At 39.5% G+C, this 14,111-nt stretch overlaps 1 long non-coding RNA gene across 2 annotated transcripts in view; it reads right to left on the bottom strand.

Moving 5' to 3' along the window:
* The window catches only part of LOC101928359 (uncharacterized), a 56,076-nt gene that overhangs the window by 22,472 nt on the left and 19,493 nt on the right, over positions 1–14,111 (bottom strand). The window lies entirely within an intron of this gene.

The raw sequence follows: 14,111 nt of genomic DNA, 5'->3' as shown, positions 1-14,111 counted from the left end.
TCTCCTGTGGTTTAATGTAGGGGAAGGGATGGATCCAAAGGCTTAGGGAGATTGGGATGCTGAAGTGGATTAGTCACTTCAGACCTATTCGTTCCGGTGGGGGGCATCCAGAAGACATAACCTTCACTAATACTTTGTGAAATATATTTATGAGGTGAGCATCTGGATCCTTGAAGAGCTCTGCTGTGATTGCTCTTCTCTGCATGCCAGATCTAACAATGGGAACCACAGTAACTCAATTAGAAAATTTAAATGCAATGAGAATAATTGGATTCTGAGGCAGCAGGGACCAAGTGGCAGCACTCAACCGTCAAAGGCAAGGTGGGCACAGTTACCATAATGGACAGCAGAGGCAAAGAAGCAATCAGAATAGTCTGACTCGTGTAGAGCTCTGGCGTTGGCTAATTAATCATGATGTTCCTGGAAGTGAAATTGACAGGAAACCTACTGCATTCTTACTTAATTTGAATAAGCAGAAAACTTCGAGTTTGACTGTACAAAAGAGTAATTTGAATTATAAAAATAGAGAATTACAGCCCCTCAATCAATTTTTAGACTTGAATCAGTTTACAGACCCAGAACTCCTTGAATCAAGGGGAGACTGGGTCCCCTTGAGGAAGGACCCCACTTCACTACCAACAATTTATGCTGTTAATACTTCTATCCTTCCCCAAGGAGACCTCCAGCATTTTACCAGAGTAACTGTGCACTGGGGAAAGGGGAATGATCAGACTTTTCAGGGACTAGTGGATACTGGCTCTGAGCTGACATTGATTCCAGGGGACTCAAAACGTCATTGTGGTCCTCCAGTTAAAGTAGGGGCTTATGGAGGTCAGGTAATTAATGGACTTTTAGTTCAGGTCCAGCTTACAATGGGTCCAGTAAGTCCCCAGACTCATCCTGTAGTCATTTCCTTAATGCCAGAACACATAATTGGCATACACATACTTAGCAGCTGGCAGAATCCTCACATTGGCTCCCTGACTGGTGGCATGAGGGCTATTATGGTGAGAAAGGCCAAATGGAAGCCATTAGAGCTGCCTCTACCTAGAAATATAGTAAATACAAAATAATATCGCATCCCTAAAGGGATTGCAGAGATTAGTGCCACCATCAAGGGCTTGAAAAATGCAGTGGTGGTGATTCCCACCACATCTTTGTTCACCTCTCCTATTCGGCCTTTGCAGAAGACAGATGGATCTTGGAGAATGACAGTAGATCATCATAAGCTTAACCAAGTGGTAACTCTAATTGCAGCTGCTGTACCAGATGTGGTTTCATTGCTGGAGCAAATTAACACATCTCTTGGTAACTGGTATACAGCCATTGATTTGGTAAATGTCTTTTTCTCCATTCCTGTCCATAAGGCCCAGCAGAGGCAATTTGCCTTCAGCTGACAAGGCCAGCAATACCTTTACTGTCCTACCTCAGGGGCATATCAAATCTCTGGCTTTGTGTTATAATATTCTTTGCAAAGATCTGAATCACTTTTCCCTTCCACAAGATATCACACTGGTCCATTACATTGGTGACATTATGCTGATTGAATCCAGTGAGCAAGAAGTCCCAAACACGCTGGACTTATTGGTGAGACATATGAGTGCCAGAGGATAGAAATAAATCTGACTAAAATTCAGGGATCTTCGACCTCAATGAAATTCTTAGGGGTCTAATGGTGTGGGGCCTGTCGAGATAATTCCTTCTGAGGTGAAAAATAAGTTGCTGCATTTGGCCCCTCCTACAACCAAGAAAGAGGCACAAGGCCTAGTGTGCCTATTTGGATTTTGGAGGCAACACATTTCCCATTTGGGTGTGTTACTCTGGCCCATTTATCGAGTGACCAAAAAGGCTGCCAGTTTTGAGTGGGGTCCAGAACAGGAGAAGGCTCCAGAAGGGGTCCAGGCTGCTGTGCAAGCTGCTCTGCCACTTGGGCCATATGATCAGCGGATCCAATGGTGGTTGAGGTGTCAGTTGCAGATAGAGATGCTGTTTGGAGCCTTTGCCACGCCCCCATAGGTGAATAACAGTGGTGGCCTCTCCAGTTTTGGAGCAAAGCCTTGCCATCCTTTGCAGATAACTACTCTCCCTTTGAGAGACAGCTCTTGGCTTGTTGCTGGGCTACAGTAGAAACACAACGTTTGACTATTGGTCATCAAGTCACCATATGACCTGAGCTGACTATCATAAATTGGGTGCTTTCTAAGCCATTTGTTCATAAAATTGGGCATGCACAGCAGCATTCCATCATCAGATGGAAGCGGTATATATGTGATCAAGCTCGAGCAGTTCTGGAAGGCACAAGTAAGTTACATGACGAAGTGGCTCAAATGCCTAGGTTCTCCGCTCCTGCCAATCTGCCTGCCCTCCCCCAGCCTGCACCGACGGTCACATGGGTAGTTCCCTGTGATCAGTTGACAGAAGAAGAGAAGACTAGGGCCTGATTCACAGATGGTTCTGCATGATATGCAGGCACCACCCAAAAGTGGACAGCTGCAGCACTATAGCCCCTTTCTAGGCCATCCCTGAAGGACAGTGGCAAAGGAAAATCTTCCCAGTGGACAGAACTTTGAGCAGTGCACCTGGTTGTTCACTTTGCTCGGAAGGAGAAATGGCCAGTTGTGCGATCATATACTGATTCATGGGCTATAGACAATGATTGGCTGGATAGTCAGGGACTTGGAAGAAGCATAATTGGAAAATTGGTGACAAAGAAATTTGGGGAAGAGGTATGTGGATGGACCTGAGTGGTCAAAAACTGTGAAGATATTGGTATCTCATGTGAATGCTCACCAAAGTGTGACCTCAGCAGAGGAGGATTTTAATAATCAAACGGATAGGATGACTTGTTCTATGGACAGCACTCTGTCTCTCTCCCCAGCCACCCCTGTCATTGCCCAATAGGCTCATGAACAAAGTGGCCATGGTGGCAGGGATGGAGTTTACCCATGGGCTCAGCTACATGGACTTCCACTCACCAAGGTTGATCTGGCTACAGCCACCACTGAGTGCCCTCTTTACTGGCAGCAGAGACCAACACTGAGCCTTTGATATGGCACCAATGCTCACAGTGATCATTGCCTCTGACAAAGGCACTCAGTCTACAGCTAAAGAAGTGTGACAGTGCACTCATGCTCACGGAATTCACTGGTCTTTCTGTGTTCTCCATCATCCTGAAGCAGCTGGAATGATAGAACAATGGAATGGCCTTTTGAAATCACAATTACAATGCTAACTAGATGACAATACTTTGCAGTGCTGTGGCAAAGTTCTCCAGAAGGCTGTGTATGTCCTGAATCTGTGTCCAATATATGGTACTGTTTCTCCCATAGTCAGGATTCATGGGTACATTAATGAAGGGGTGGAAGTGGAAGTGGCACCACTCACCATCACCCCTAATGACCCATTAACAAAATTTTTGCTTCCTGTTCCCACCACATTATGTTCTGCTAGCCTAGACATCTTAGTACCAGAAGGGGGAATGCTGCCATCAGGAGACACAATGATTCCATTGAACTTGAAGTTAAGCTTGTCACCTAGTTACTTTGGGCTCCTCCTACCTCTAAGTCAACAGGCTAAGAAAGGAGTTACAGTGTTGGTTGGAGTGACTGACCCAGACTATCAAAATGAAATCAGTCTACTACTCCGCAATGGAAGTAAGGAAGAGTATGTGTAGAATACAGGAAATCCTTTAGGGCATCTTTTAGTATTACCATGCCCTGTGATTCAGGTCAATGGGAAACTACAACAGCCAAATCCAGGCAGGACTACAAATGACCTAGACCCTTCAGGAATGAATGTTTGGGTCGCTCCACCACGAATAAAAAACACAACCCACTGAGGTGCTTGCTGAAGGCAAACGGTATACAGAGTGGGTATATACTAACACAAACACACACGCACACACACACACCTATCAATCTAGCTTTCTTTCTAATCTATCTATCCATCAGTTCTTATTTATTTTTCTTTCCTTTATTTGTATAAAGGTATTTAATACATAATACTTTATATATATATATATTACATAGTCATCAAAGTCAGAGCATTTAGGGTATCCGTCACCTGAGTATAATACAGTTTTGTAGATTGACTTTTGTATGTTAACTTTGTATTCCTGTGACCTTGTTATAGTCTTTTATTTGTCCTGGGAGATTTTCGTGTTGTCGATTTAAAAAAGTTTCTACGTGTACAATAATGTCATCTGTAAACAAAGGCATTTTATTTTTTTTAATGTATACAACTTTAATTTCATTTTATTGTCTTATTGCAATATGTGGCACTGCTAAGACGATACTGAATAAGAGTGATAAAAGATAATATCCTTCTCTTTTTCTGGACCTTAAGGGAAAAATATCCAGTTTCTTACCATCAAGTACTTTGTTAACCATAAACTTTTTGAAGATGTTCTTTATCACACTGAAAAAAATACACTATATTAATAGTTTATTAAATTTTCTAAAACTATGAATAGTTTAAGAATTTCGTCATGTATTTTTCCAGTATCAATTGATGTGATTGTATGATTTTTCTTATTTAGTCTGTTGATTTAGGAAATTATACAGATTGATTTTTTAAATTTTTATTTATTTTTTAAAATTTAGTCCAATTTATTTATTTAGTTAGTTTAGTTTAGTTTTAGTGCAGATGAGGTTTTGCCATGTTGCCCAAGCTGATCTTGAACTTCGGGTTTCTAGCAATCTGTCCACCTCAGACTCCCAAATTGCTGGGATTACAGGGGTGAGCCACCATGCCAGGGCCTGGGTCTCGCTTTGTTCAAAGCCTAGGCTGGTCCTGAAATCCTGGGCTCAAGCGATCCACCTGCCTCGGCCTCTCACAGCCCTGAAATTCCAGGTGTGAGCCACTACACCCGGCCTGATTTTTAAATCTCGAGCCAGTGTTACACAACTGAAATCCTACTTGATGATGGTATATAATTTTATATATTCATTGCTGGATTCAATTTCCTATTTTGTCGAGGATTTTTCCATCTCTGATCAAGGGAGATGTTGGCCTATAGTTTTCCTTTCTTGTAATGTCTTTAGTCTGGTTTTGGAATTAAGGGGATGGTGGCCTCGTAGAATGAATTAAGAAGTGTTCCTACTTCTTTTATCTCTTAGAAAAGATTGTGGAGAATTGATACTGTTTCCTCAGTAAGTATTCGATAGAATTTGCCAGCAAAACTATCTGGGTTTGTTGCTTTCTCTTTTAGTAAGTTATTAATTATTGATTTAATTTTTAATAGATACAAGTCTTGCAGATTATTTTTTTCTCTTATATTACTTTTGGTAGTTTGTGTCTTTTAAGGAATTTGTCAGTTTCATCTAAATGATCAAATTTGTGGTAAAAAATTGTTCATGGTATTTCTTTATTATCCTTTTAAAATACATGCAATCAGTAATAATGACCCATTAAGATAGTGATGCTAGCAAAAAAAGTGAAGTCAAAAATTCTTGTTTAGCTTAGCTAGATTTGTATCAATTTTATTAATATTTGTATAACAACAGATTGTATTTTCATTCTTTTTTCTATTGTTTCTCTGTGTTCCGTTTCATTGGTTTTTGCTCTAATTTTTATAATTTCACTATTTTCTCCTTTTTTTACTTAAAATTTTTTGTTATTTTTCTATGGTGAAATCTTAGGTCATTAAGATGAGATTTTTTTCCCTAATATATTTATTTAAGGCTATAAATTATTCTCTAGGCCTTGTTAGTGTGGTGTTAGGTATGAAAGAGGAACAACTTTCCAGAATATTTTGATTAATTTTCAACATTTTAATGGCCAAATGTCTCCTCACAAGTGTTTATTCAGTGGTATACCTCCTCCCACCACATGTTGTCCTTTGGTGAGACAGGAAGGCTGGAGCGAAAGGAATATCCTTCTGCCAACCGGAATAAGGCTCTGGTAGTCTTTTTCCTTGTAGAACAGCTCTTTGTTGTGGAGGACATCATGAGAATATTTCACAATGATTACTCTTCTTCTCCTGCTAAAGCCAGGAGGGGAACTCCTCAGAATTCTTACTGTGAGAACCTACCGGGGTTTCTGAAGGTAAAATTATTATTTTGTAGGAGTTTCGTAAAGCTGGGCTGCCATAAGATTCTCACTTCTATTGCACCTCTTCATTTATCCTCTATGAATGCAGTCAAAATTACCATTGAAGTGGTCCTACCATATTATGGTTCCAGCCACTCTTGCTTTAGGTAAGCAGATCTTTGCTATGACTCTCTGGATTCTCATCTGTAGAGATTTCCAGATGCTGACTTGCTCCGTTACTTCAATTCTCTAATGGTTCCAAGAAAAATCATTAATTTTCAGTTTATCAGGTTTTTTTTGCTTGTTGTAAGGATGAGAGTGACAACTTCTAAGGTCTTTCACATGTCATTGCTGAAACCGGAGTCTTGGCATATTTTCAAATTGTTGCTTATCTGATAGCAGAGTATTTCAGTGTATTATTAATTTGCATTTCTTTAATTATATGTGATAAATATATCTTCATATATTTAAGGGTCATTTCTTTTTGACTTCACTTTTTTTGCTAGTGTCACTATCATTATCCCATTTATCATTGACTCAGTCCAATCCTTCTATGTCCAATGAGTCACTAAGTACTCTTCTAGTAATCTCGCTTGTTTTTCATTTTATTTATTCTTTTAAGGATATTTGAATGTATTTGGTGTTTTTTTTTTGTTGTTAAAACAAGATTTTTTTTAATTTTACTTATTTTTTTAATTTTTTATTTCAATAGGTTTCTGGGGAACAAGTGGTATTTTTTACATAGACAATTTCTTTAGTGGCGATTTCCAAGATTTGGGTGCATCCATCACTGAGCAGTGTACACTCTACCCAATGTGCCAATGTGTAGCCTTTTATCCCTCAGTCCCCTCACCCATTTCCCCTTAGTCCCCAAAGTCCTTTATTGTATCATTCTTACGCCTTTGTGTCCTCATAGCTTAGCTCCCACTTATGAGTGAGAACATACAATGTTCGATTTTCCATTCCTGAGTTACTTCAGTTGGAATAATGGTCTCCAACCCTATCCAGGTTGCTGTGGATGCCATTATTTTGTTCCTTTTTATGGCTGAGTAGTATTCCATGAAATATATATATACCACATTTTCTTTATGCACTTGTTGATTGATAGGCATTTGGGCTGGCTCCATATTTGTACTGCTTTAATATTGATAAGTGAGGTAGTATTCTATTCATCATGCTAGTTGTTACCTGAATACCTTTTTTTTCATTGTGTTATTGTTTTATATGCCCTGTGAGATTTATGCTTTAAGGAGGTTCTATTATGGTGTATTCAAGGATTTGTTTCAAGATTTAGAGCTTTTTTTTTTTTTTTTTCCAGAGTCTTTCTCTGTTACCCAGACTGGAGTGCAGTGGCATGATCCCAACTCACCGTAACCTTCACCTCCCAGGTTCAGGCGATTTTTCTGCCTCAGTCTCCCAAGTAGCTGGAATTACAGGCACCCACCACCACGCTCCGCTAATTTTTGTATTTTTAGTAGAATGTAGTTTCATCAGGTTGGCCAGGACGGTCTTGAATTCCTGACCTCAAGTGATCCACCCACCTCGGCCTCCCAAAGTGCTAGGATTACAGGCCTGAGTCACCACGCCCAGTCTAGAGCTCCTTTTAACAATTTTGTATAGCTGGCTTGGTACTGGCAAATTTTCTCAGCATTTGTCTGAAAAAGATGGTATCTTTCCTTCATTTATTAAGCTTAGTTTTGCTGGATACAAAATTCTTGACTGATAATTGTTTTATATAAGGAAGCTAAAAATAGGAACCCAATTCCTTCTAGCTTGTGGGCTTTTTGCTGAGAAATCTGCTGTTAATCCGATAGATTTTCCTTTATAGGTTATCCAGCGCTTTTGCCTCACAGCTCTTAAGATTCTTTCCTTTGTCTTGACTTTAGATAACCTGATGACTATGTGCCTAGGTGATGATTTTTTGCAATGAATTTCCGGAGTGGTCTTTAAGCTTCTAGATCTCTAACAAAGCCAGGGAGTTTTCTTGATTTTTCCCTCAAATATGCTTCCCAAACATTTAGATTTCTCTTCTCCCTCAGGAATACCCATTATTCTTAGGTTCAGTCATTTAATTCGATACTTCTTGGAGGCTTTGTTCATTTTTTTAAAATTGTTTTTTCTTTGTCTCTGTCAGACTGGGTTAATTCAAAAGCCTTTTCTTTGAGCTCTGAAGTTCTTTCTTCTACTTCTTTGATTGCTGATACTTCCAGTGTATTTTGCATTTCTCTACGTGTGTCCTTCATTTCAAGAAGTTGTGATTGTTTCATGCTATCTGTTTCTCTGTAGATTTTTTCATCCACATCTTTTATCTTTTTTTAATTTAAGTTGATATTAGCCTTTCTTTGTTGCCTCTTGAGTAACTTAATAATCAACCTTCTGAATTCTTTTCCTGGCAATTCAGAGATTTATTCTTGGTTTTTATCCATTGCTGGTGAGCTTGTTTGATATTTTGTGCATGTTAACAAACCTTGTCTTGTTATATTACCAGAATTGTTTTTCTGGTTTGTTCTCACTTGGGTAGACTATCTTAGAGGGAAGATGTGGGGCTCAAGGGCTGTTGTTCAGATTCTTTTGTCCCACAGGGTGCTCCTTCATTGTGCTGTCCCCCTTTCCTTATGGATCGGGCTTCCTGAGGGCCAAACTGCAATGATTGTTATTTCTCTTCTGGGTCTAGCAACCCTGTGGCTAGCAACCTGGCTCTGGGCTGGTACTGGGGAGTGTCTGCAAAGAGTCCTGCGATGTGATCCATCTTCAGGTCTCTCAGGTGTGAATACCAGCACCTGCTCTTGTGTAGGTAGCTGGGGAGTGAAGTGGACTCTGTGTAAGTCCTTGGTCGTGTTTTTGTTTAGTGCACTGGTTTTGTGTTGGTTGGCCTCCAGCCAGGAGGTGGCACTTTCAAGAGAGCATCAGCTGTTGTAGTATAGGGAGGATACCAGCTCTCCTTAGAGTTGCCTGGATAAGTATTTGGGTTTCTCAGGCAGTGGGCAGGGCTGTAGAGCTCCCAAGGGATTATTTCCTATGTCTTTAGCTCCCAGGGCAGGTAGAGAAAGACCATCAGGTGGGGGCATGGTTAGGTGTGTCTGAGCTCAGACCCTCCTTAGACAGGGCTTGGTACTGCTGCTGTGGGGGCTAGGTGTGTGGTTCTCAGGCCAATGGAGTTACATCCCCGGGAGGATTATGTTGTGTCATAGAGGTCTCCAGGGAAGTGGGAGAAGAGCAGTGACAGGCCTCACCCAGCTCCCACACAGCCTGAAAGGCCAGTCTCACTCTGACCCTGCCCCTCCACAGCACCAAGTTTATTTCCAGGCAGCCAGTGAGCAGGGCTGAGAACTTTGCCCCAGACTACAAGCCTCCCTGCTGAGAAAGAAAGCAGGGCTTTCAGGTTTTGTGCCTCCCCACCTACCAGTTTCTATGCTCATATCTGCACTCCTGGTTCACTCCCTACCCCAGATTGTGTCCAGGAAACTTTGCATTTAGTCAAAATTGTTACGAAGTTCACCTAGAAGTTTCCTTCTCCCTGTGGTCTTTTCCTAATTCCACTGGCATCCCTTCCCAAGGAGCCCTGCAAGACAAAGTCAGGAATGGCTTCCCTGGGGAACGAGAGTGCCAACAGGGCTCTTCCTGCTGCTTCCTCTACCCTTGTATTTCACTTGGCTCTCTAAATTCATCTCAGCTCCAGGTAAGGTCCTTCTCCTGTGATCTGGACCTTCAGGTTCCCCAGTGAGGTTGTGTGTTCAGGGTCAGACATTCCCTCTCTCACACTTCAGGCACTCACAGTTTTTTAGCTGTCTCATGGAGCCTGTAGCAGCCAGCTGCTTCCTTTAAAGGGTCTGTGGATTCTCTTGGCTTTCCTGAAATGTTTCTGCAGTAGTTCTTGGAGCAAAAGTTTATAAAGTGAGTCTCCACATGCTGCTCTGTCAATCTGAATGGGAGCTGCAAGTTAGTCCTGCCTCCCATCAGCCATTTTTTTCCTTCATTTTCTAAATATAACATTCTTACTGTGGTCACCCTAGTTCAAAACCTGGCATAATATAATAGTTTCCAAAAGGATTCCTCATATTGGCTTCTTGTCCACTTTTGTCTTATGTTTGTGAGAAACATGCATTAAACTTCTGAAAGCTTAGGGAAGTTGTATAGCAGGGTCATTAAAAGGTGAAGATTTAGAGTGAAACAGATCTGGTTTAACTTTTTGCCTCTCATAGCTGTGTGATGATGTACAAGCCATTTCACTTCTCTTAGTTTCCATTTCCTTACATTTAAAATGAGAATAACAATAATATTTACTCACAGGTGGTTTTATTGATTAAGAAAAGTTAATTATAACCTTATTCAGCCTCTATCACAGCTTTTATTTATAGATGTTTCACTTTTTCTACTCTTCCCTCCCCGTCCCAACACATATGGCAAATGCAAGCTTTTGGTCATAGAAAGCACCAGTTGATCGAATGTATGTGACTCATTTAAGTTCATCTCTTCAATTGGGAAAGTTAGAATATTGCAGATAGCATGTTAGTAGCATCGTGTTTAGCTACATGGAAATGATTTTAAAATAGCTTGTTTTGAGCAGAAAGATGAGTGGGAAGGAATTCTAGAATAACATTGCTCACAAATCACAGGCAGTTTTAATAAATGCTATTATTTATATTTTGCCCTTATAAAACACACTAGTTTTTAAATAAACTAACCTGATTTAGACCAACATAAATGCAAAATTCAGCAGCAGTTACAAATCATACATTCTCAAGAGATCACAGTACTAAGTTGATTACAAACAGCTGCACTATTCAATTGCCATTGGAATGTTATTCAAAGGACAATTAAACAAAAAGTGTCCACGTATAGATCTCTATTCTATATTTCTTGCACAGCTCACAGTTTGATACTGACTGACCTTAAAGCTATGTGTGCCAGGTATTTTAATCATAGTAATCAAAATATTGGGAAGTCATTTACTAGTTTAAGTACCATTAAGTTTTTGTAAAGACCTATTACAAGAAGAGGAATTTAAATTTATTTCTTAGAGACGTCAAGTGTGTGTATAATAACAGCAGTTATATAAGCATAGTCTTTTGAGTTAAAAGGACATTTTTCCCCAAACAAAACTTAGTAGATAATGTTGAATGTAGCCATGCATGCTATATTTGTTAATGTAGACACAAATGTTCGATGGTTTAATAAACTTTTTAAATGAGAATAGTCTTCCTATAAAACATTGTCTTGAAAACAGGAATGTAAAATGGATATTCTCTTTTGTTGGCATGCAAGTCTCCCTGGAAATTAGGCATACCTTCTCTCTGACAATCTGAGTGTGGACTTGGAGCCTCATATGGTGCTTACCCACTGGCTTCTCTTTTTTATTTATATAAATGATATGTCACCAATTACTTGCTTTCAAACTATATAGAAAGTGTTTGATATTTTAGTGCTAGAGGTCAGTGTGAATTCAATAATAATGAAGAACAAGACTGGAAAATTTTCTAAATAAATATGTGAGTCAAATAATAACAGCATTTTACAAATGTGTGGAAGAAAACAAAGATGCTTTATAACAGAATAAAGGGGGGTATTATTTAAAATGAAAGGGCTCCTTGTACAGGTAGCATATACACTGAGGCAGGAATAACAAGAAGAAGCAGTTATACAAGTTCCTTGGTAAAAAAAAAAAAAAAAATCTTGAAGGAAGATTGTAGAACAAGAACTAAAGCCCTGATGTAGTTTTCTCTTAGGAACTAAAAATAAAAAGCCATATTAAGGATATAATGAATGAAGGAATGAATGGTACTAAGTAAAACAGAAGAGTTACTTAGGGGCAGGGTTATTCAGAGTTTGTAGATCATGGTAAGGCTTTTTTCAGTTTTATTCCAAGTGCATTTGAAAATCATTGAAAGGTTTAACCAGGAATGTAACATGATTAGATTTACATGGTTACATAAAAAGATCACCCTGGTTACTGTGTCTAGAATGAATTACTGTGAACTGGTGGTAATAGGGGGAATAGAAATGGAAGACCAATTAAAGGCTATCATGGCAACCCATATAAGAGATAAGAATGGCCTGTGCTAAAGTGTGACACTGGACACGGAGAAAAGTATATGGATTCAAATCTATTTAGAAGGTAGAATTACTAGGATTTTCTGATGAGTTAGAAGTATGTACGTGTGTGTATATATGTGTGTGAACTATGAGGAAAATAATAGAAACACAGATGCCTTCATATTTTCTGGCTTGAGGGAGTAATTGAAGGGTGCTGTTGCATTCTGAGATTAGTAAGACTTGGAGAGGAACTAATTTGGAGGAAATCAAGAGTTTAATTTTAACATCCAATTTAAAATATCTGTGAGACGCATAAAAGATAGTAAAATAAGATATTGGATATAGGTATCTTGAGCCCAGGAGGAATTTCTAGGCTGGAGATATACATTTAAAACTGAATCTCCATATAGTTAGTAATTGATGCTGTGGAAATTATTGAAAACGCCTAGAAAGAGAATAGCTAGGGAAGAGAAGAAAACCCAGAATTGTATCTTAAGGAATTCCAACATGATAGAGGTCTTTTGGAGGAGAAGCCAAAAGCAGAGCTGGAGGAGTAGCTAGTGAGAGAGAAGAAAATCAGGCATGTATGTGGTAAAAACTGAGGTAAGTATTGTATGAAAGGAGGAATAACAAAATCTAATGAAAGCTGCTGAGGCATTGAAAAAGGTGAAGACAACAATATTTATTGCTTTGAGCAACACAAAAGTCTCACATACATGGATAACACAATTTTTAAAATTAAAAAAGCATAATTATGACTGAAAGTAAAATAAGCATCCTTATGACAAAAAAATTGAATGGAAATATAATGTAGAATCGGGCTAAATACACAGACCTATAACAGATGGGTTTCTGCAGGGAAATGAAAAAATACTGTCCTGCATCTGAGATATGGATATTAGAGCCAGTCATACCTGAAGCCAGGAGACAAAGTAGGGACCCTCACAGATGCAAAGATGCTGAGAAACTTCTTTTTGACATGATAGATGTTTGATTAGAAGCTATGGGTATAGGGAATGTGTAAAGTTCCAGAAAGTAAATCACACTCTTCACTGGTTCATTTATGGAATTTAATATCACTACAAGAATGGAAATATTAACAATGATTACAAGACATGGTTTTGCACTGAAGGTCTGAGCCATGCAGAGGCAAACACAAAAATGACTGGAAAGGAAGGAATGTTTAGAAAGAGTAAAGTAGATCTAGAAAGGGAAAAAACATAAACATAAAACCTCACACACAAAATGAATGTGTAAACAAAAATTATAAATCATATGAAATAATATTAGAAGTGTCAGCCAATAATTAGAACACAAATTTATTCCAGATAAAACTCATTTCATTAAATAGTAAGACAAAATAATGGAATGTATTAGTTGCATTCTTGAAGAGATAAATATAGCTATAGTAGTTAAAAAAGAAAAAGTAATTGAAAATCAAAACGAGTGGAAATGAAACTATAATAGGTATTCAGAAAACATAAACACAAGAGATTACAGCACCTGGGTGTAGCACAAAAATAAGAAAAAGTGCATTGAAGAGGGTAGGAGAGACGGTTTTACATTGTCTGCATCATACTTCCCCTAAATCCTGGATAACATATTCTAGAGAGATATACCCTCTGTGTGAAGGAAGAAGATGCAAGTGAACAATGGACTTTGCCTCAGATCCCAGCACTGGGCCTGCGCCAGTAAAACTCAGCACTTGGCAGACCCCAAACCCAAGGCCCAATACTTCAGGCTGTAATTGTAGACTGAGCCTCTATGCTTACCCTGGTGCCAGGCCAGATCCCACAGCCCTGAGCTTCACACATGCCTGGCAGACTTGGTCTTAGGGCCTGACATACTGCCAGACAAAACCCCAGGCTCCAGATTGTCCCCAGCACCAGGCTGGCTTCCATGGCCCCAGACTTCAGGCCCACTCCACACTAGTCCCACCCACTCAGCCCTAGCAGAACCTGGAGACTCAGCCTTCAGGCCAGCCTCTGCCGATACAGACTCCAGGCCCACCTAGCACCAGGACAAGCCCTGTAGCCCCAGACTCCAAG

The sequence above is a fragment of the Homo sapiens genome, chromosome X (genome assembly GCF_000001405.40).
Source record: "Homo sapiens chromosome X, GRCh38.p14 Primary Assembly".
NCBI classification, from domain to species: Eukaryota; Metazoa; Chordata; class Mammalia; order Primates; family Hominidae; genus Homo; species Homo sapiens.
Note: the sequence above shows the minus strand (reverse complement) of the source record. Positions and strands in the feature narration are given on the sequence as shown.